This window comes from Homo sapiens, chromosome 10 (genome assembly GCF_000001405.40).
Source record: "Homo sapiens chromosome 10, GRCh38.p14 Primary Assembly".
Taxonomy (NCBI): Eukaryota; Metazoa; Chordata; class Mammalia; order Primates; family Hominidae; genus Homo; species Homo sapiens.
The window spans coordinates 113,649,573-113,673,193 of record NC_000010.11 but is presented as its reverse complement, the minus strand read 5'-3'; the positions used below and the strand labels follow the sequence as shown (position 1 = coordinate 113,673,193).

Sequence of the window (23,621 nt, the reverse complement as noted above, 5' to 3'; positions counted from 1 at the left end):
CTGTTAGTCTGATGGGCTTCCCTTTGTGGGTAACCTGACCTTTCTCTCTGGCTGCCCTTAACATTTTTTCCTTCATTTCAACTTTGGTGAATCTGACAATTATGTGTCTTGGAGTTGCTCTTCTCAAGGAGTATCTTTGTGGCGTTCTCTGTATTTCCCGAATTTGAATGTTGGCCTGCCTTGCTAGATTGGGGAAGTTCTCCTGGATAATATCCTGCAGAGTGTTTTCCAACTTGGTTCCATTCTCCCCGTCACTTTCAGGTACACCAATCAGACATAGATTTGGTCTTTTCACATAGTCCCATATTTCTTGGAGGCTTTGTTCGTTTCTTTTTATTCTTTTTTCTCTAAACTTCTCTTCTCACTTCATTTCATTCATTTGATCTTCCATCACTGATACCCTTTCTCCAGTTGATCGAATCGGCTCCTGAGGCTTGTGCATTCATCACGTAGTTCTCGTGCTGTGGTTTTCATCTCCATCAGGTCCTTTAAGGACTTCTCTGCATTGGTTATTCCAGTTAGCCATTTGTCAAATTTTTTTTCAAGGTTTTTAACTTCTTTGCCTTGGATTCGAACTTCCTCCTTTAGCTCGAAGTAGTTTGATCATCTGAAGCCTTCTTCTCTCAACTTGTCAAAGTCATTCTCCGTCCAGCTTTGTTCCATTGCTGGTGAGGAGCTGCGTTCCTTTGGAGAAGGAGAGGCACTCTGATTTTTAGAGTTTCCAGTTTTTCTGTTCTGTTTTTTCCCCATCTTTGTGGTTTTATCTACCTTTGGTCTTTGATGATGGTGACATACAGATGGGGTTTTGGTGTGGATGTCCTTTCTGTTTGTTAGTTTTCCTTCTAACAGTCAGGACCCTCAGCTGCATGTCTGTTGGAGTTTGCTGGAGGTCCACTCCAGACCTGTTTGCCTGGGTATCAGCAGCAGAGGCTGCAGAACAGCAGATATTGGTGAGCAGCAAATGTTGCTGCCTGATCGTTCCTCTGGAAGTTTTGTCTCAGAGGAGTACCCGGCCATGTGAGTTGTCAGTCTGCCCCTACTGGGGGGTGCCTCCCAGTTAGGCTACTTGGGGGTCAGGGACCCACTTGAGGAGGCAGTCTGTCCGTTCTCAGATCTCCAGCTGTGTGCTGGGAGAACCACTACTCTCTTCAAAGCTGTCAGACAGGGACATGTAAGTCTGCAGGGGATTCTGCTGTGTTTTATTTGGCTCCTCAGAAGCATGTGATTTTTGCTCTGCTTTTTGCCCCTTAAAGCATGTGACCTACTCCCTGTTCATACACCCCCTCCCCTTTTGAAATCCTTAATAAAAACTTGCTGGTTTTGTGGCTCAGGTGGGCATCACGGTCCTACCAATATATGATGTCACCTCTGGCGGCCCAGCTGTAAAATTCCTCTTTGTACTCTTTCTCTTTATTTCTCAGACCAGCTGACACTTAGGGAAAATAGAAAGAACCTATGTTGAAATATTGGGGGTGGGTTGCCCTCATACTTATTGTGGGCTGGCACAAGAAATTCCAAAGTTACTGCTCTAAGGCTGGATTATCACAGTATCAACAAGAGGGAAATACAGAAGGGAAGAAACCATTGTGAACTTTTCCCTCTGTAATAATTGTACTGACACTTTGGATCCAAATGATGTTTTCTTGTAAAGGTACCTCCTTTGTCTCTCCAGCCTTGGACCATGCCATTGTTTTATGTTTCCTTTCTATATTCACATGATTATAGCATGAACCTTCCCCCTTATTCCAGAAAAGTCCCCCAGCTTCCCCTATTGGGATGGTTTCCAAAGGGGCTCATAGGTGCTCTTGGGCCAGCCCCTCCGAATCTTCCCTCCAGCCCTCCCCTCTGGTTGCTGGTGAATTCCCCATCCACACCCTGCTGGGCATAGCACCCCTGAGGGGTGCCACCAGTGATTGCTTCTCCAATTCTCCACTGGATAGCTCAGGCCAGGCTATGACTTTATACAGGACTCCATGAAGGACATTGCAAGATTAACAGAAATGCCATTCTCACCACCCACAGGCCAAACCCAAACCCTGGCCCCTGCTGAGGTCCCAGCAGACTTTTGCCAGGTGGAGAGAGTAGGAAGCTCAGGGTCCAAGAGGAATTCCCTTCTTCCCTGGAAGAAGGAATTCATGTTGTACATGTTATTGAATGATTGCCTCACAACTTCAAATCCACCCTTTTTGTCTGTTCTGTAGAAATTGAACTGGGCCCTTTAAGTAGTTTTCCCTTGCCTGTGGCCTCATGTTAACCTTGGTGGGTAAAGGGCATTGGAGATTCATTATAAGATGGAAAGAGTTTTGCTTCCTGGTTCTGGCATGTCTGGCGTGCTCCTTCAGAGGGCATGGCTTCTCAGCACCAGGTTCTTGGAATGTACCTGGTAGCCAGAACACACAGCAGCCATCAGCTTCCCCTGGCACCTGCTTCAGGTGGTTTTGTAGAGAGTGCCTCTGTTACCAGTGGAGGGTCTTGACTAGGAGTTGTCCAGGGTCTTGGTGTTTTGAACAAAGAATTGGACAAAATGCATAAACAAAGGAATGAAAGAATGAAGCAATGAAAGAACAGATTTATGAAATGAAAGTATACTCCACAGAGTGGGAGCTGGCTGGAGCAAGTGGCTCAAGAGCACTGGCTACAGAATCTTCTGGGGTCTGAAGTACCCTCTAGAGGTTTCCCATTGGTTACTCAGTTACACCCTATGCACATGAAGACCTAGCCCCCAACCAGTCTGACTGGTTGCAGTAAGGACACAGATACAGAGGGAAGACCATGGGAGGATACAGAGAGAAGTGGCCATCTACAAGCAGAGAGAGGTCTCCGAAGAAATCAACCCTGCTGATATCGTGATCTTGGATTTCTAGCCCCTGGAACTGTGAGAAAATAAATTTCTGTTGTTTAAGCCACCAAGCCTGTGGCACTTTGTTATGGCAGCCCTAGCAAACTAACACATATGTTATTTGCAAGGATATCTGCTATTGCTACAGTTTTCAGAGTTCTCTTTACTTCTTACTAGCCAACCTCTTGATATTCCAACTCGCTGTTATAGTTTATAATTTGTTATACAGTTGAGCCTCCATATCCCCAGGTTCTGGATCTGAGGATTCAACCAACTGCAGATCAAATATACTTAAAAAAAAGCAAAAAATAACAATACAATAATACAAATGATATAAATAAAAAAATACAGGGTAACAGCTACTTACATAGCATTTACATTGTATTAGGTACTTTAAGTAATCTAGAGATGATTTAATGCATATGGGAGATTATATGTAGGTTATATACAAATACTATGCCATTTTATATAAGGAACTTGAGCATGCATGGATTTTGGTATCCTCAGGGGCCCTGGAACCAATACCCCCATGGATACTGAGGGATGCCTGTGTTAATTCAGCTTACTGTATGGTTTCTCTCTCCTGAGTGGACCCAGATGGATACCACTCAAGCCTGCCTCATTTCTGATTCTGTTGCCTTCAGCAGTGTGACTATCCATTTCTTTTTCTTTTTTTTTTTTTTGGAGATGGAGTCTTGCTCTGTCACCCAGGCTGGAGTGCAGTGGCATGATCTCGGCTCACTGCAACCTCTGCCTCCTGGGTTCCCACCATTCTCCTGCCTCGGCCTCCTGAGTAGCTGGGACTACAGGCACCTGCCACCACGCCCGGCTACTTTTTTGTATTTTTAGTAGAGACGGGGTTTCATCGTTTCAGCCAGGATGGTCTCGATCTCGATCTCCTGACCTTGTGATCCGCCCACCTCGGCCTCCCAAAGTGCTGGGATTACAGGCGTGAGCCACCGTGCCCGGCCGACTATCCATTTCTTGATTCAGAGGGGAACTTCCACCCCACCCACAGGGTGTGTCATTGTCTCCTGGCCCAGGAAAAGGTAACCGTAGCAGTTGAATATTATTATTCACACCTGAATAAGATTCTACTGCAATCAAAGCCCAGGCCATATAGGGCTGAACTGATTCCTAATCCTTTCCTCTGCCTTCCTCTCCACTCCCTCTCCCCAAGAGCATCAGACACGGTTGCTCCTGATGCCCTGTGATTGCAAACTACCACCTGCAGGTCACCTGTGGTCTGTTTTTGTACAGCTCACAAGCTAAGAATGGTTTTTACATTTTTAAAGGGTCGTAAAAAAAAGAAGAATAAGAAAAAGATGATGCAACAGAGATTGACTGTATATGGCCTGCAAAGCCTAAAATATTTACAGTCTGATTTTTTACAGAAAAGTTTATGGGTCCCTATCTTACACCAAATGACACAATCCCATCTTCAAAGCAAACAATGACTGTGATGGTTAATATTAGGTGTCAACTTGATTGAATTGATGGATGCCTAGATGGCTGATGAAGCATTGTTCCTGGATGTGTCTGTGAGGGTGCTGCCAGAGGAGACTGACATTTAAGTTGATGGTCTGAGAGAGGAAGACCCACCCTCAATGTGGGTCGGCACCATCCAATGGGCTGCCAGCTTGGCTAGAACAAAGCAGGTGGAAGAAAGTGGATAAGCTTGTCTGCTGAGTCTTCTCCCTCTTTCTCTCTTCCCATGCTTTTCAGCACACTAGGCTTCTTCTCCTCCTGCCCTTGGACATCAGACTCCAGGTTCTTCAGCCTTTGGACTCTGGGACTTGCACCAGTGGCCTCCCAGGGGCTCAGACTGAGGGCTGCACTGTCAGCTTCCCTGGTTTTGGGGCTTTCAGACTTGGACTGAGCCAAACTACTGGCTTTTCCCTTTTTCCAACTTGCGGCCTATCATGGGACTTTGCCTTGTAATTGTGTGAAGCAATTCTCCCTAATAATCTCATATATATATACACATATATGTCCCCCATTGGTTCTGTCCCTCTGAAGAACCCTGACTAATATATAACTTTAAACCAGAGTGGTTTCAAGCCAGATTTAAGTTTGAGGAGATGTAGAATTTCTCTAATTTTCCTGGACAGAGTACAGTTTCTATAAACCAACAGATCACTTGCTCAACCTCTCAGAATGAAGCTTGGGCATTAGGTAACCTCACCAATATTTAGGTTTCCCTAGGGTGGTAAGAGCTCCTTGCCTAATTAAGGTCACCACCATCTAGTGCTCAGGCCTTAATGACTGCCACAGAAGAACTTCAGTCTGAGGTCGCTGACCCCCCCATCAGCCAGGACCCTTGGGACTTTACCCCAGGAGAATACCCCCAATAACTTCTCCCAGGGCACTTGGAAGCCCCCAAGGTTAGGGGTGAGGGTGGTGGGCAAGGGCAGGTCTGACCTGAGAAAGCATGAGAGCTCAAGACAAGGCCCTGCTTCCTGAATTCTCCACCCCAAGTGTGTCGACGCAGCATTGTACAGTGCAGAGGAGTGGACGGATGGAACAGGGTTGACACCATCAGCCTGGAAGAGCAGGACAGTGAGAGTTCACGGTGCATCTCATATAAGTACTTTCCCTTACCCTGTCCACTGCCAGTTTCCTTGAGTGACCCACTCTGGGGGTACCTGGTATCACATCCCCTCCGCTCACCAGTGTTATCTCCATGCATGTCACCAGGCCCTCTTTACACGCCCACAGCAGTGGCCCTCCACTTCCCTGCCTCTGGGCTTTCTTCAAGCTGCCTAAGTCCATTAAGCTTGTGGAGAGAGGTCTCCCCTAAAGGTATAGGGGAGTTAATGACCCTGACAGTTGCCCTCAACCAATGGGGGATGAGAGTTGAGTGGATGTGTCCCAGCCACCATCCTTCAGTGGGACCATTCTGAGGCACATTCTACACAAATCTTCAGAGTGTCCCCAGCAAGATTGTGCTCCAGCTGCCCACAGTGGTATAATATCTAGTTTAGGATATGCTCTTTATTGACTCTTCTCTTTTCCCTGGCTCATTTGCCTTAAACCCTCACTCCTGCCTCATGGGACTACCTCCCAAATAACTTCCCTGTGCCTTGCTGAGGGGGGCAACCTAAATTAAAACAGGAACAAACCCCCAGCATGGGAGGAACACCTTCCGTCTAATCTGAGTGACAGTGACAGAATGAAGGGTCAGCAGCTGTCCCTTGATTTCACATCTCTTATCATTTTTCTGTAGTTTCAAAACCAGTCCATATGCACAGCCCTGGAGGGCCCTGGAAATGGTGCAGAGTTAGAAAGGATTACCTCATATCCTGGATGACTCAATCCAAGTCCAAAAAGACCTCAACCGCCTAAAGCAAGGCGACCACCATCAACAGGATGAAATTGAAAAGAGGTAAATAAGGAGGACTACATTTAACTTTCAAAAGGAAACTACTTGCCCACATACTGAACATAAAAGTCATTAATGTGAAACAAAAAGCTCCCTATGAGTCAAGACTTAAAAAAAGCCAGAGCAATGTGGGGTGGTGTGGGCCGAAGTTCCCAGATCAAGGCTCCACAAGGCTCTGCAAGATCAGGCTCCAGCTCACCACCACCAAGCCCAGGTCCAGGACTCTGCTGAGAGCCCAGTGCATCAGACACCTGGAAGGGCTGCTTTAGATTCACTCAGCCTCACCTTCCGTAGGGCCTTTGCCTACTTGAGCAGGCTCAGCCTCGGTAGTGGCCACTGTCTCTATGAGGGCTCTGGCCATCTTCACGTGGGCACAACTGACAGTGTCTTTGGCCTTCTGCTGCCCTTGGTGTTTTCCTGTTGATACTGAGGTGCGAGATGCCATGGGACTCCCTGTGTACATACACAGCATGGACATTAATGGCCAATGGGGCAAACCTTTCACCAATGGGAGACAGGACCCTTCCTTCCTCTGGTAGATGTTCCTGAGTAGCGGTTGTTTATATGGCCCCTTGGAAGATGGTCAAGCCATTCAATACACTTTATACCAGCTGGTGGCCCCGTTGAGAACAACCCTAATACCAACTGTTCCCTGCCCTGCATTTCCTGCCTTCTAACTCTTGCTCCCTGGATTATACTTTGGAATAAAGTCCTTGCATATAAGCCTTTGACACAGGTTCTGTTTTCTGGAGAACCCAGGCTAAGACTGATGTTATCTGAACCAACTCCTAAGGCCAAAGGAATGTGGTATGCTCACTGACTTGGCTTGGACGGCCTGCTGTAATCCCTGCGTCAAGTGGGAGGGGCTTAGGCCAAGGAGCAGGAGGGGCTGTATATAACATGAGAAGGGTGGTGTGAACCAACCAAGACTCGACTACACAGTGAAGTCTGTGTTTGTCTTGCCCCAGAAATGAGTGTTTACTTCTAGTTCCTTAAACTATCCCATTTCTAGTTCTATGGGGTTGTTTCTCCTAGCAATTTCTGATGTCTAATAAATCAGAAGTGATGGTACAAATCCAGTTTAGCATCTTGCATTTTGTAATTCTTGTGTTCACAAATGTGACCAACCCGTTTTAACGGCTACAGATTGCAATCACAAGCTTAGGCAGAGAAGGAACGTTGCAAGCTTCTTTTTTAAGTGAAATCCTCCTGATTCCTCAGCCCTCCGGACTGGGGTACAGTTCATTTCAGTGATTATTGGAGCTTCCACCCCACCCACTAAGTAAGGCTTGAGAAGCCTGGTGCAGAGCAAAACAACCGGGGAACCCTGCAGGTCTTTGTGCTGTGCCCATTGCTGTTCTCATTTGCAGGCTGGTGGCAGCCCTCCTGCCCAATCACGTTTCAGTGTGGGAGTCTTTGCTGAGCCTGGAGTCCCTGCTTTGAGTCCCCTCCCCATGCTGAGAGAGCCCTAGCCCCATGTGGGAAAACCTGAGACTCCGCCTTCCCCTTATACTCATGTGGACTTGAATGCTACTCTTCTTCATTGGCTTTAGAGCTTCTTCCTACCCCCTGGCTATCTCAGCACAACCCCAAAATACTACTCATCTTACTCCACCCTACCTGGGGACACCAACCTAACCTCAGAACATTTAGGGCCAAGGTCACAAATTGGTAACCTGCTGGCCAAATACTGCCCACGACTCTGTTATATTGTTTTATATACAAAAAGGGGAATTTCATTTGTAAATGCAGACTTCTGGTGTGCTCAGAATATTTGGAAAATATTCCGGAAAAATCAGGATATTTGGCAACCTGGAATGTTGATTGTTTCATGATGACAGTTGGCTGGGACTGAGGAGCAGTTGCCTGCTTCAGATGGGATGAGTGCTCATCTATTTGGAAAAGTTCCTACCATTATCTAGACTTCATACCTGGCCTCTATAGGCATTTTGGTGTGAGTATTAAATTTATTTCATTAATCCAATAAATCTTTATTAAGCACCTTTTATTGGCAGACCTTGTTCTAGGCATGGGGGATATAGAAGTGGCAAAAAGGACCAAAGATCCTGTTTAGACAGAACTCATATTTTGATGGGAGAGACACAATTTTTAAAAATAGAAACATTAACATGTAATATGTCCAGCTGTGATTACCACTATGAAGACCATCAAGCAGGCTAAGAGTAATGGAAGATAATGAGATAGGAGTGGGGACAGGTGAGGTGCCATTTTGTATCAGGTATTTCTATAAGGTGATAAGGTGACATTTCAGCAGAGACTGAAGGCAATGAGAGGCTTCCCAAAGCCAGGAAGAGAGATTCTGTCTTCATATCACCTCTTTTAAGGCCTGTGAGGCAAGGGAACAAGCACAAAGGCCTTCTTGGAACATTCTAGAATAAAATACAGAGGCCAAAACACCAAGAGTTCTCATTAGTTTTTAGTTTTGCGTTCCAGTAGAAGCTAAACACAAACTAACACCTTATTAAGTTTTTAGTTTAACTGTTGTAAACGCTTTGGGTAGGTAAAGTTAAAATTCAAGTGTGATATTTATCCATTTAAAGGAGTGAATCAATCCTATTTTATTTTCTATATTTTTGGGAGCTGGCCTTTCTGCTTTAGTCATAGGACGCATAGAGCAAGCTTTTCTAATTTGATTGTTGGATGACGGTGTGGCATCTTCCTTTAGGTTCTTTTCTTGGGTCATGATCACAGCTAGTGCTAAACCACTCCATGCTGCCTGATCATACACCAGGGTTTGGTTATCCACATAAACATGATGCTGTTGTGAGTTCATTTTTCTATTTAGAGAAGCATGTCAGCTAGAAATACTTCCACCTTATTTCCCAGACACATGCGTGCTGAGTGAGTGGCCAAAATAGCCCCTTGAGTAAGTGGCAGCTTTAAAAACCATCCAACTGCTGACTTCAAACTAGAAGGTCAGCAAAGGAAAGTGGAAGTTGGATTCTGAAAGATCGAGGTGCCCACAGGAATTTTATGGTCGTCGGATTTTGAAGACTTGAACTAGACTGGGGGTTCTCCTTGCATTTCTTGCCTGTTGCCTATCTTTGTCCTCTCTCTTCCGGCTTCGAGATGAATGTGCAGCCCTGTTCTAGGTGTGGGTATGGGGTTTATCCTGCCGAGAAGATCAGCTGTATAGATCAGGTCAGTAGACATTTCTTGGCTTTTGTGAATAATAACAAACACAGGAAATTGACCTTCTCACATATGGACATAGGTAAATATGGAAATTTAATTTTCAGTTAAATTGTTTTGAACCACAAGAAAAAGTTATATTTTCTCACCTTTATTTAGTTCTACACATTTCTATTTCTTCTGTGTTGTCTCAAAAAAAAAAAGTTATCCATTTATTTAACCGTGAGTGTTGTTATAGCTGTGTGTGTGGATTTTAATTTTTTTAAAATCAGCATTTTATCCTCGAAGTTCATTTTTTTACCCTAAAATATATAAGAACCTTGAGTCTGGGGGGAAAAGGGTAATTGCTAAATCTTCTCTATATGATTTCTAGATATGGCATAAAGCCTGTTTTCACTGTGAAGTTTGCAAGATGATGCTGTCTGTTAATAACTTTGTGAGTCACCAGAAAAAGCCGTACTGTCACGCGTAAGTGTTTGATGCCCCCACCACTACCTCTTGAGTTTTATTTGTTTTTCAACAAGGAGCCAACTAAACGTTCAAATCATATAACCCAGGGTTAAATCCAAGAAATATCTTCTCCCAAAGTGTTCCCTTGTATCCTGTCATTAAAGAGACCTAAGGTGGGATTTTATGCAATGGACACAAAACTTCAAATTTCTTCCAAGTAAAAGATCAAATATATCCACTATAACCTCATGTCAAATTATTAAATACTGTGCAGAACAATGTAATGGCCATAAATATGCATATAGAGCTTTGAAGTATTTTCTTTTAAATAATTTCAGAATCCTTTTTTACTTTCTTCAGAAAGTTTTCAAGTGATCATTTCCAGTTAAATTTAGGCTTTCAGTTATATATGTCGATTTTATTTGATTTGCTTTTTTTTCTGTAAGATGCATTGCCTGGAAAATCACGAACTTAATTTTTAAGTTTTACATTTATTGATTTTTTAAAAATAACTGTTATTATTTAAAAATAATTTTAAGAATAGTCCCTCAATCATTTGGATAAAGTACATTTCTAATTTTGATTTATACCTATTTGTTGTAGCCATAACCCTAAGAACAACACTTTCACCAGTGTCTATCACACTCCATTAAATCTAAATGTGAGGACATTTCCAGAGGCCATCAGTGGGGTAAGTTATTTAATTTTCAGTGGGATGGAGGGTATGGAGAATGATTGGTTACTGGGTAGAAACATGCAAATAGATAAAAGGAATATATTCTAGCCAGGCACAGTGGCTCACACCTACAATTCCAACACTTTGGGAGGCCAAAGCGGGCAGATGGTTTGAGCTTGGGAGTTAGAGACTAGCCTGGGCAACATAGTGAGACCCTGTCTTTATTTCTTAAAAAGTTAAATAAATAAAAGAAGGAACATGTTGTAATGTCCTATAGCAGACAGAGTAGGATGACCACAATTAACAACAATGTATCATATATTTCAAAATAGCTAGAATAGAAATGATAAATACTCGAGCCGATAAACACCCTAAATGCCCTGACTTGATCATTACACATTCTAATATGTAACAAAATATTATATGTACTCCATAAATATGTGCAAATATTATATACCGATTAACAATGCTAGGCACATGTTAAGTTTTTAAGTGTCTCTGTCTGCATGTGAACCTGCCCATTTCCTCCACATACACATGTAAAGTGCATTTGAGTAACAAATATGACTGTTTGTTCTCCCACAATATTAGGAGCCAATATACAGGATAATCTAGATTGAATAATTGAGGTCCTTGATTTCAGTATAATCTTTGTGTCTTGACCAGCTCAAGACTGTTTCATAAAATGATGACAGTTTATAGAGTAGGCTCTGCATATACTAGGTGCTTAATACATAAAACAATGCTTACGTAGTTGGAACATATTACAAGGATCTTGACTTTTCCCTGTGACATTCTGGTACACAAAATTAAAACCTTTAGTTTCACACTGTTAAGTCTCTCTGAATTCAGTCATTACTTATGATTATTGGCAGCCTGTTTTCCCCTTGGGGTGGGGATAAGTCAAAGATGTTTTCCTTTGGAAAGGAAGTTTAGTTTAGGACGTGTGGGGTTGAGATGGGGAGGTAAATATGGAGGCCACATTGCCAAATCCAACCTCTTGAAAATCTAATAGTGGAGTTTTGTCAAATAACCAGTTATCGACGGAACTCTTGCACCTATTAAAATGATGAATCATTGAGCTTCTATAACCCATGCCCACAAGAAGTTGCTCTGTGGGATGAAGTTTTAGTGGCTTTCTAAAATTAGAAAATTACCCATGAGGTGAAAGACTCTCTAGTGATCCCTCTTTACCCAAGATTCCCTTCCTAATGTTGCTCCACCTCATACTGACTCCCTTCCCTGCCCAGCTGTCCTCCTCCCAAAAAACTGTGTATGAGATAGAGGTAGTGACCTTGCTGTGTGGCTCTCTACACATGCTGCCAAGATACCTTATTTTCACTAAGTGCTTAGAACTAATTGTGAGTTTATTATTTCTTTTATTTAACAAGCATATATAGCATTTACTGTAGAAGCACTTAATTAATTTAACGTACACCACAACTCAATGAAGTTGATACTACTATTATCCCATTTTACGGTGAGGAAACAGAGGCTCAAATTGTTGCTCAGACATCATTGCTTCCTAGGGATTCACAAGTCTTATGAATTCACAAGTAATCCTAGGTTACTGAGAAGCCTAATTCTTTTAGGACTTTGTTTTCATCTCTTGGTGTCTGAGAGCAGCTACATGAAATTACAATAAATATTGAATCTAGCTCTTACTTAAACAGAGTACTGAACACTCTGCTAAGTTCTTTATATTATCTCATGTGTTCTTGACAAGAACCTTCTGTAATATTATTGTGTTATAGTTGAGGAAACTGAAGCTCAGAGAGGTTAAGTAACCTGCCTAGTTTACCCAGCTGGTTGGGCACAAATCCAGATCTGTTTAACTTTAGGATATTTATTAGTGGCTCTCTTTCATATATATCCAGAGGGTGGCAAACTCTCCAGAAGACAAAAAGCACTTGTTCATGTTTTCAAATATCCATATGTTTCTGCAGTTGTGTAGCGAGGATTTGACACATAAAACATGAGGAGATGTACTTTACCTCAGAATGCTGTTTGCATTTATTACAGTGTCTACAGAAAGATCCATAATGTCTGTATTTTTCCTCTAACTGAGCCACAGCAGGCATGTCTCCACCTTATAATCACACAACAGGTCACACACTATTTTCCTCTTTTTGAGGTGGGAGTGGACTCACTTTATTTTAACTGTGTATGACAGGCCCAACCTGGAGCAAGGCTAGGATTGTTGCTGGTTCTATTTCCAGCCACAGACAGTGATGTGAGCTTCCCAGGAAGCCTGCGTGTGTGTATTTGTTTGCGTCTATGTGACAGCGTATATGTGTGTATATATATGTGTATATATATGTGTGTGTGCATCCGGAGAGTGTGTATATGTGTGTATGTAGGTGTGAATGTGTGTGCACACACATCTATATGTGTGTATGTGATGTGTGTGCATGAGTATGTGTGTGCACATGTTCATGTGTATTGTGTGCATGTATTTGGTGTGTATGTGTTTATGCATATGTATGTATATGTACATGCATGTGGGATATGTATATGCATATGTGGTATGTATATATGTGTATATAGTGAGTGTATATATGTATGTATGGTGTTTATGTATGTATGTATGTATATATGTGTATATGGTGTGTGTGTGTGTGTGTGTGTGTGTGTGTGTGTGTTGTCTACTGAGATCACTTTCTCCTTTTTGCCCACCAGGGACAAAGTAAAACGGACAACCATATCCCTTACAGGGCCCAGCTCTTACAACTGCCCTAGGGTGTGTTATGAATTACCTTTTCACCTCCCTGTGATCTCTGGGAGACTTTGACAATTGAATAAAAAACAAATTCATTGTGAAAGTGCTAAAATCAAAAAAGGAAAGAGATTTTTCAGTGATGGTGATGAAGGAGAAAAGTAGAGATTTTAAGCTGGCATTCAAAGCAGATTTGCAGGTTTTTTGTCTCCTAAATGTCACCCTTTGAAAAATAAATAAATACTTGCAAAGACAGAATTTCCTGTTTGGTAGGTGTGAATGGAATTTTTAGAAAAATAAAACATCTAGGGTTTTCTTCTATTCAGAGAACGAAATTTAGCCCTTCATGCTTCCTTACCCCACTGGTAAGATTTATGGCATTTTTTCCTCTTTCTGTTTCCTTGGTGTAATCCTGAATCTCACGAAAGGTCCCTAGGGGAGGCAAACCCTCCCCAGTGGTAGATTTGCACTGGGGAAGGAGGACAGCAAATATAACTTTCTAGAAGTGGACAGAATATCTATTTTGGTCTTTTGGTCCTGTGTTTCTGATTCCTAAAGTACATTGTTCTCAAGGAGGGCAGTTCCCCCCAACCCCTACCTGGGGGACATTTGTTAATGTCTGGGACATATTGATTGTCGTGACTGGTGTTGATGGGGTATTATTGCATCTGGTGGGTGGAGACCTGGGATGCTCTTAAACATCTTGCTATGCCCGAGCCAGTACTCCACAACAAATAATTAACTGGCCCAAAATATTGGTAGTATTATTTGTAGGTAAAAACAAAAAACGAACAAACAAACAAAGCCCACTTTAAGTTTACGTAATGTTCATTTAATTGTTTCCTAAAAATACAAGGAAAAAGCATGTAAAGATCTCTCAGTGTATATATTTAAAAATATATGCATCAAGTAGCATTAAGCAGTAGCAACCCTGGAAAGTCAATATCAGAATGTGCCCTTGATAGGGAACAAGAATCCTTTGGGTTTAAACTTTTCTCTGAGCTTGTTTTCTTATTATGTTTAAAATTAAGAATTTAAACTTCAGCTTGTAAAAATTTCAGATTTCTTTCTTTCTTTCTTTTTTTTTTTTTTTTTTGAGACAGGGTCTCACTCTGTTGCCCAGGCTGGAGTGCAGTGGTGTGATGTCGGCTCACTGCAACCTCCGCCTCCTGGGTTCAAGTGATTCTCATATCTCAGCCTCCTGAGTAGTTGGGACTACAGGCGTGCACCACCATGCTCAGCTAATTTTTTCTATTTTTAGTAGAGATGGGATTTCACTGTGTTGGCCAGGCTGGTCTCAAACTCCTGACCTCAAGTGATCCACCTGCCTTGGCCTCCCAAATTGCTGGGAGTGCAGGCGTGAGGTACTGCGCCCGGCCAAAATTGCCGATTTCTGGGCCTCACTTCCTACCTAATAAATTTTGATATCTTAGTTTGGACCTAAGACCTTCTGATGTTTTTTCTTTTATAATTAGTCCTTTTTACATTTAAGAAATCTTTGTCTATCTCAAGGTTATGAAGATGTTACTGAGAGGTCAGTTTTCCCCCAATTAATCTATACATTCAAGGCAGTGCCATTCAAAATCCTGGTGTTTTTTTGTGGAAATGGACAGACTGATTCTGAACGAATATAAAAACACAAAGCTTCTAAAATAGCCAAGAAATCTTGAAGAACAAATTTGAAGGACTCACCAGATTTCAAGACTTACTCTATAAAAGCAGACTTACTCTATTAACTCAGCATAGAATTGGCACAAGAAGAGAGAAATAGACCAGTGGACTCCAACACAAGGTCCAGAAATAGGGCTGCACGTATATGGTCACTTGACTTACAAGAAAGGCATCACTGCAATTTAACATAGCAAGAATGATCTTTTCATAAACAGTACTGTAGTAATTAGGTATTTATATAGAAAAAAATGAACCTTGACCCTTATCTATATGTAAAAATTAACTCAAGGTGTATTATAAATCAGGATGTTAAAGGTAAAATTGTGAGGCATAAGAAGAATATCTTCATAAAATTGAGGAGCCAGCATTTTAATAAGCTCCCTGGGTGATGGTTACATGACTAAAATTAAGAACCAGTACTCTAATGCCCAATGTTTTCTGAGGTTACTCTAATTTGTATTGTGTGGTAGGTTTATAAAGACTTTATCTCAGTCACTTTAATTGCACTGCTTCAAAGAGCTTCACACACAGCAGGTGCTCTATATGTGCCACCTGGTTGGAGGTGCAGATTAAACCACAGGGAGACTGACAGCACAGTGTGCCTTGCAGCACAGTGAAGATGCTTTGCAGTTGAGACTTAGCAAAATCCCCCAATTTTAGCTAGGAATTGTTTGTCTATGTTTTTTTCTCTTTTCTGATGGAAACATTACTGACAACATCTTCCTTGAGCAGATCCATGACCAAGAAGATGGTGAACAGTGTAAATCAGTTTTTCACTGGGACATGAAATCCAAGGATAAGGAAGGTGCACCTAACAGGCAGCCACTGGCAAATGAGGTGAGAGAAAAGTGACAAGTGGGTTTGGAAAAAGAAAGAATGACATACTATGTCAATTGAGTGTATTATTATTATTACTTCTAGAGAAAACCAAGTAGGTTTCCTTTCACCCAGTTTGTAATTCCAGCTGTCTATGGAAGACCTCAATCAGCGTGTCCTAATATCACCTGAACTCTATCTTCCCCAGACCAGGTTCATTGTCTTCCCCTTCCAACCACTGTATTTCTATCACCCAGGTTTGAAACCAAGGCTACCCTGTCTTTCTCTGACACTTCACTCAGCTCCACCCTTTTCTCTCCACTCTCCCCGTTCTGATCTACATCATTTTCTGCCTGGACCTTTACGAGGCCTCCCAAGGTGGCTGCTTTCCCTCCTCTAGGCTGGCCTCTCTCCAGCCTGTTGTACTCACATGGGTCAGGAGGCTCCCAGCTTCCTAGGTGTCCCTGACTTACTCTTCCCACCTCCCCTGTCTGTTGACAGACTCATCATTTCAGAATTCCTTAGCCATTTATTTTATTTACACACATAATATACACATAAGAATTTGCATTATTCTTATTATAAAAAAAAATCCAAACAGTACAAAGCTAACCCTTTATCCACCACCTCCAATTCCAGTTTTCTTTGTACAAGTACCCACTCTCGTCAATCTTGTGGATAGCATCCTTCCAGACTTTTCTCTATTGATTTGCAAATAAAACCATATCTTTCTAGAATTTACATTTGGACATGCTACCATTTATTGAAGGATCTTAAATGAGTTATTTAACCATTCTTTACTTCAACTTTCTCATCTGTAAGGTGAACTTCAAAAACACTTCCTAACATAATGATATTGCGATGAACAAAAGATCTTAGAACAGTGGTAGGCACAATAAATATCAGCTAGTATTACTTGTTATTGAAAATTATATATGTATATATGTTATATAAACCCAAAAGTATCTGAGACAGGTCTCAATCCATTTAGAAAGTTTATTTTGCCAAGGTTAAGGACACACCCACGACAGCCTCAGGAGGTCCTGACAACCTGTGCCAGAGGTGGTCAGAGTACAGCTTGCTTTTATACATTTTAGGGAGACATGAGACATCAATCAGTACATGTGAGGTGTACATTGGTTCCATCTGGAAAGGCAGGACACCTCGAAGTGGGGGCTTTCAGGTTATAGGTAGATTTAAAGTTTTCTGATTGGCAATTGATTTAAAGAGTTATTAACTAAAGACCTGAAATCAATAGAAGAAATGTCTGGATTACAATAAGGGGTTGTGGAGACCAAAGTTTTATCATGCAGATGAAGCCTCCAAGCAGCAGGTTTCAGAGAGAATAGATTGTAAATATTTCTTATCAGACTTAGAGTATGTGTTGGTGTTAATGCTGGTCGGTAGGCTTTTCTTGAATTCCGAAAGGGAGGCGGGTATAATGAGACATGTTCGACCTCCCCCTTTCCATCATGGCCTGAACCAGTTTTGCAGGTTAACTTTCGAATGTCCTTGGCTGAGAGGAGGGATCTGTTCAGATAGTTAGGGGGCTTAGAATTTTATTTTTGGTTTACAGTATATTTCTATTAAAATGTATACTTTTTTCATGAAACAATATGCATTGTTGTGAAGTGTGTATTTTTCACTCAACAAATATCTTGGAAATATTTCTACATCAGCATCCTTTTAAGCTATCGTGAATGGGTGTATCATAGGTGCACCATTAAGTATGGATATACAAGGCCAGGTGCCATGGCTCACACCTGTAATCCTAGCACTTTGGGAGGCCAAGGTGGGTGGATCACCTGAGGTCAGGAGTTCGAGACTAGCCTGGCCAACATGGCCCATCTCTACTAAAAATATAAAAATTAGCCAGGCATGGTGGTACATGCCTGTAATCCCAGCTTCTCGGGAGGCTGAGGCAGGAGAATTGCTTGAACCCAGGAGGCGGAGGTTGCAGTGAGCTGAGATAGTGCCACTGCACTCCATCCTAGGTGACAGAGCAAGACTCTGTCTCAAGGGAAAAAAAAAAAAAAAATGGATGTACAATACCATACTATCCTATTGATAGACAGGATTATTCCAAAATTTTTTTTCTATTGCAAATTTGCAAGGAACATTCTTGTTCAAGACCTCTTTTGTATACAAGTGAGTGTTTTTCTAGACTAGATAATGAAAAAACAAAGTTGCTAGATCAAAGGGTATGTCCCTTTTAAATTTTAATGGAGGCTCAAATTGAATTCTAAAATAGCTGTACATTTTATACTCCCAAAGGCAGTGTGTGAGAATGCCTGTTTCCCAACATTCTAACCATCACTTGGTATTGTCAGATAAGTGTTTGGACAATCTGCATCTTGTTTCAATTTAGATGTCCCTGATTGCTAGTCAGGTTGAGTATAATTTCACATATGAATAATCTGTCTTTCTGGATCTCCAAAGGCTGGCTCTATCCAACCTGTCCAACTTGCCCCCCTCCAGCCCACCTGGCTCCCCATCTCTTTCCCTTGTGTCCAATCAAACCCAGCTCCTCATGGTCCTAATTACTGAGCCCATCACTGCCTTCATGCTTTTATTCATGGCAGCCTACATTCCTGGAATTTATTCAACAAATAATTATTGAGTCTATGAGTTGCTACACACTGTTCCAAGCTTTTGGGATGCGTTAGTAAACCAGACATGAAAATCCCTGCCTTCATGGAACGGACCTTCTAAAGTGGATGCCATTCGTTCTCCCTTGGCCTCTACTAATTGCCCTCAGCCCTGGAGGTACAGCTCAAATTCTATCTTCCTGCCCCATATGGGACCCATCTCTTACAGACTGCTTTTTAAAGATTCTTATTGTACTTATCACTCAGACAATACACTTAAACACATAACTGTTTTCTAATTGCTATTTATTTCATGTTAGTTTTATCTCCCAAGGTGGTAGGTCATGAGTATCTTAAAAGAGAAACTTTGCCTTTCCTTTTTTTTTTTTTTTTTTGCTTTTATTGCCATTGTCAGTTGTCAAGCACATAACAGGTAGTAGGTTTTTGACATTTGTCTGAATAATGTTGATTAATCTCAGATTACCTGTCCACAGTGATTTCCCCTCCTCCTCGCCCAATCTTGATGCAATGGTGTGCAAGAAAATGTTGTTACATTCAAAATTTTCCTGTAACATAAGTGGTTCTCAGAAAGTTCAATTATTTAGAATCTTAGGTCATTTTCTAGCCTGAAATAAATGAACATTTCAGTTAGCTGAGACCCAGGATTTACCAATAGGAGTTTATAATGTTTAAGAATATCTTCTTTTGACAATGTATGTAAGTGTTGCTGGGAGTCTGGGGCATGTGTTTGTATCCCTTCATGTGCTTCCTTTGTAGAGAGCCTATTGGACTGGATATGGGGAAGGGAATGCTTGGTGCCCAGGAGCTCTGCCAGACCCCGAAATTGTAAGGATGGTTGAGGCTCGAAAGTCTCTTGGTGAGGTAAGCACCCTAGAAATTGCTTTAGGAATTGGTTTAGCAATTACTTAGCAATTAGTTTGACTGTTCCTTGACTTTTACAATTTCGGTAGACAGAATGATGCTATCATCCCCAAAGATACCCATGTCCTAATCCCTGAAACCAGGAGGGTCAGAGTCAGAGGAAAGGTGATATGGTGACAGAAGCAGAGGCCAAATCCATGTAGGGCAGGAACTAGAAATGTGTGGGCCTCTAGAAGCTGGAAAAGGCAGAGAAACAGATTATGCTCTAGAACCTCCAGAAGGAACCATCTCCAATGGCCCATTTTAAAGTACTGACCTCCAAAATCATAAGAGACCTTAGCAGGCTTTCACATAGGGAAGACAGTTTTAGCCCAGACTGTGGAAATCCTCAATCATTTGCACAGGTTACGCTCTAGGTAACTAGGTCCCTCCTGGTTACCTCTAGGTACACTTACCCTTTGAAGAATCTACTTTGGAAAACACTGTTAGTCCTCATGACTTTTCTTTAGAAAATGGAAAGAAAATGCTAGAAACACAAATGCTAAGGTGATAAGTCTCATTAGGAAAACTAATCATCAGAGATATTCAAAAAGTCAGAAGGAAAGAAAAAGAGACATTTTACTTCCAATACTGTAGTACTCTTGCTAGCAGACGAGTTACAGGAAAGTCACCCATGTATTAATTAATAGCTGTGGTACCTACAGGCCTTAGAGCCAAAGGGCAGCCCTTGAGTTGTGCCAGGTCCCCATATTTTGATATGAACATTGAAGAGGAGCCCCTTTGACATGGGAAATATGAGTTCTTCAGTGCTGATGGTTTTATTCAAATGGTCAATTATAAGCCATTTTTAAATTTATTACAGGTGATTGAAATATTTCCGAAGAACTTTATGAATCTAGTTTCATTGGTTTTATTGCGGTTTTCTTAGTTGTCATTCAATATCATCTCAGTTCTCATGCTGACATTGGTTCTGACCAACAGGAATATACAGAAGACTATGAGCAACCCAGGGGCAAGGGGAGCTTTCCAGCCATGATCACACCTGCTTATCAAAGGGCCAAGAAAGCCAACCAGCTGGCCAGCCAAGTGAGTGCCTGGGTGCTTTTTCACCATTGATTATGCTAATTTTTGTCATTAATGAGCCCCCGTGATTTAGGGAAAAAACAGTAAGAGAGTGCTTTGGGGAAGTAGGTACCATTAGTGTCATATTACAGAGAAAACTGTGTTCTTACTTTTCCCCGTCAAGTATTCTCTGTGCTGTGATTGGACCATGTCTATAAAATACAGAGAAGAATGTATAGTTCACCCAAAGTCTGGACCACATGATTTCTTGAGTTTGCTTTAGCACTGAACACATTATTATTTTACATTTTTATTTTTATTTTATTTATTTATTTTTATTTTTATTTTATTTTTATTTTTATTCTTGGCTCACTGCAACCTCTGCCTCCTGGGTTCAAGTGATTCTCCTGCCTCAGCCTCCCGAGTAGCTGGACTACAGGCACGTGCCACCACACCCAGCTAATTTTTTTGTATTTTTAGTAGTAGAGATGGGGTTTCACCATGTTGGCCAGGATGGTCTTAATCTCTTGACCCTGTGATCCACCCAACTTGGCCTCCCAAAGTGCTGGGATTACTCGGGTGAGCCACCACAGCCAGCCGAAGACACTAATTTTTAACTGGATGTCAGGTTCACCGGAAGAGTAGCAAAGTTTATTTGTTAAAAGCTTAGATTTTGGAGCCAGAATGTTGAAATTTGAATCCTGACTCTATCCCTTAGTGCTATGTGACCATGGACAAATTACTTAATTTCTCTCTTTCTTGGCTTCTCGTTTGTAAAGTGAGGAAAACATTAGTCCTGCCAAATATGATTGTTATGGAGATTAAGCAAGTTAATATTTGTTGGAGTGTGGCAGTCCCTGGCACACTCCTGGACTTAGCACATTGGCATAGATGCTTTTTGAGGAGGAGCCCATGAAACAAGCCACAGAAGACTTGCCACAGGTTTGCATTGAGTGTAGCCTGATGGTGCAGCTTTAGGAGAGCCACAGGGAGAGGTCACTGAGGAGGCTGTGAGGTGGGTGCACCCTTGACTCTACTGTCTTCTCATCAGGTGGAGTATAAGAGAGGGCATGATGAACGCATCTCCAGGTTCTCCACGGTGGTGGATACTCCTGAGCTGCTACGGAGCAAGGCTGGGGCACAGCTTCAAAGTGATGTAAGAAAGGAGGGAGGCCAGTCCATCACTGATGGGCATTTGGGTTGATTCCTCATCTTTGCTCTTGTGAATAGTGCTGCAATGAACATACACGTGCATGTATCTTTATAATAGAATGATAAAAAGGAACAAGATCATGTCCTTTGCAGGGACACAGATGGAGCTGGAGGCCATTATCCTCAGCAGACTAATACAGGAACAGAAAACCAAACACCCCATGTTCTCACTTATAAGTGGGAGCTGAGCAATGAGAACACATGGACACAGGGAGGGGAACAACACACACTGGGGCCCACAGAGGGGAGTTGAGGGGAGGGACAGCATCAGGATAAATAGCTAATGCATGCCGGGCTTAATACCTAGGTGATGGGCTGATACGTACAGCAAACCACCATGGCACACATTTACCTACGTAACAAACCTGCACGTCCTGCACATGTATTCTAGAACTTAAATTAAATTAAATTAATAAAAAAGAGAGAGAAATGAGGAAGGCCAAGATGTAGTGGTTTGCACTTAAGATCCCTCATTCTTTCCTTGCTTGGAGGTGGAGGGAGGGAGAATGTATGAGACATTTTAGTCCTGCATGGGTAACAAGAAGAAATTCCTGAGGTCAAGGATGGTTGGGCTTGATAAGTCAGTTAGCAGAGACCTTGCAAAAACACTTCTTTAAAGAGAAAACTTTAGATTGGATTAGTACCAAATTGGATGTATCTCAGTTATCTGAGAGAAATCTCTCTTGCCACTACAAATTAGAGAACATAATTTCTAAACAACTTTTACCACTTGCCTTTACATAATCCAAATGTTGCACAGCATAATAAGATCAAGAACTTAGTGTTGTTCTGAATGGGACATTGAAGCACAAATCCAGCTTCTGCGTCATACATGGTTTCCTCTTGCTTTAGCCTTAATCTGGGGTTGAGAAGACTCTTGTGTCTCCCAAAAATGGCTGACAACTCCTTGAGGGCTGAGGACTTATTACTCTGCCCAGGCCCAGTGCCTGGCCCACACCAGGTGCTTAGCAAGCATGTGTTGAACTCCACATTGGGTGTCTCCATGTGCCAGGCACTGTGCTGGGTATTGGGAATAAGAAGATGAATAAGATGCACATGGCCCATCAAACTGTAAGCCAATTATGTGCCTTATGAGCTATGACAGGAGATGGGCAGGATGTCATGGAACCCTTAGCAGAGCATCTCACTAAGATCATCTGATAAACATGGGGCATGTGATTCACATGTTTTTTCATTTCAGGTGAGATACACAGAGGACTATGAACAACAAAGAGGGAAAGGCAGTTTCCCTGCGATGATCACACCCGCCTATCAGATAGCCAAAAGAGCCAATGAGCTGGCAAGTGATGTAAGTGTCCTTGACAATGTGGTCATGTTAGGGAGAAAGAGGAATGTGAACCTGGGTCTGAGGAGTCCAACTTCCTGTTGACTTTTGCATTTACCCTGAAGCCAGGGAGTAGTTTTCCTTTATAGTTTTAAGTCAATTTTACCAATGACAATGACCTGGCACTTTTATGTCTGAGACATACCTACTCCCTAGATCCAAGCAGAAAAAGAACATTCCATTAAGACATTCACTTTTACTCTTTTGGCTCCTGTGCATGGGAGTCAAATTCACCGAGTTTGTCCTTTGCCTTAAAACAGGTGAGGTACCATCAACAATATCAAAAAGAAATGAGGGGAATGGCTGGTCCAGCCATTGGAGCTGAGGGCATCTTGACAAGGGAATGTGCAGACCAATATGGCCAGGTATGTGATAAAATGATCTCCTGACCTGCTCTTTTCCATGTTTGGCCCATTCTAGGCTGTGACACAGCTATGACAATTTAATCAGGGGTGGGGCTTTGGTTTATCTTTACCTTTTTTATGAAAGGTAGATTTTCCAAGATAGAAAGTAGTGGACAAACAATTGCACAGGGCTCAACTTGACCCACTTAGGAAAACAGATTGAGGCACTTTCTTTTTTTAAATTAATAAATGACTTATACCAATATGGTGGCTTGGCCAAGAAGAAAGCATTCCTATCTGTCCATTGAAGAACAGTCGCTAGGACTAAGATTGGCTAAGCTTAGCTGGTCTCTATCATAAGCAACATAGAGATCAAAATGCATCTTGAAAAATATTGAGCATTTCACTGAGTAGTGGTGCTCATTTTCTTAGAAAGTGAATTTTTTTTATCTAGGTTGGTAGATAAATCAGTATGCCAGAGAATG

The 23,621-nt window shown here is 42.0% G+C and overlaps 1 protein-coding gene across 11 annotated transcripts in view; it reads left to right on the top strand.

Annotated features, from left to right (window-relative positions):
• Nucleotides 1-9,152: 9,152 nt before the first annotated feature.
• The window catches only part of NRAP (nebulin related anchoring protein), a 75,328-nt gene continuing 60,859 nt past the window's right edge, over nucleotides 9,153-23,621 (top strand). For all 11 annotated transcript variants that reach the window (NM_006175.5, NM_001322945.2, XM_047425253.1 and 8 more), the window contains exons 1-9: nucleotides 9,153-9,383; nucleotides 9,748-9,842; nucleotides 10,428-10,515; nucleotides 15,620-15,724; nucleotides 19,069-19,173; nucleotides 20,155-20,259; nucleotides 21,287-21,391; nucleotides 22,649-22,756; nucleotides 23,053-23,157. In NM_006175.5, the coding sequence (NP_006166.3) occupies nucleotides 9,312-9,383; nucleotides 9,748-9,842; nucleotides 10,428-10,515; nucleotides 15,620-15,724; nucleotides 19,069-19,173; nucleotides 20,155-20,259; nucleotides 21,287-21,391; nucleotides 22,649-22,756; nucleotides 23,053-23,157 (888 nt within the window). In that variant the 5' untranslated portion in view covers nucleotides 9,153-9,311. The remainder of the gene's footprint in view (nucleotides 9,384-9,747; nucleotides 9,843-10,427; nucleotides 10,516-15,619; nucleotides 15,725-19,068; nucleotides 19,174-20,154; nucleotides 20,260-21,286; nucleotides 21,392-22,648; nucleotides 22,757-23,052; nucleotides 23,158-23,621) is intronic.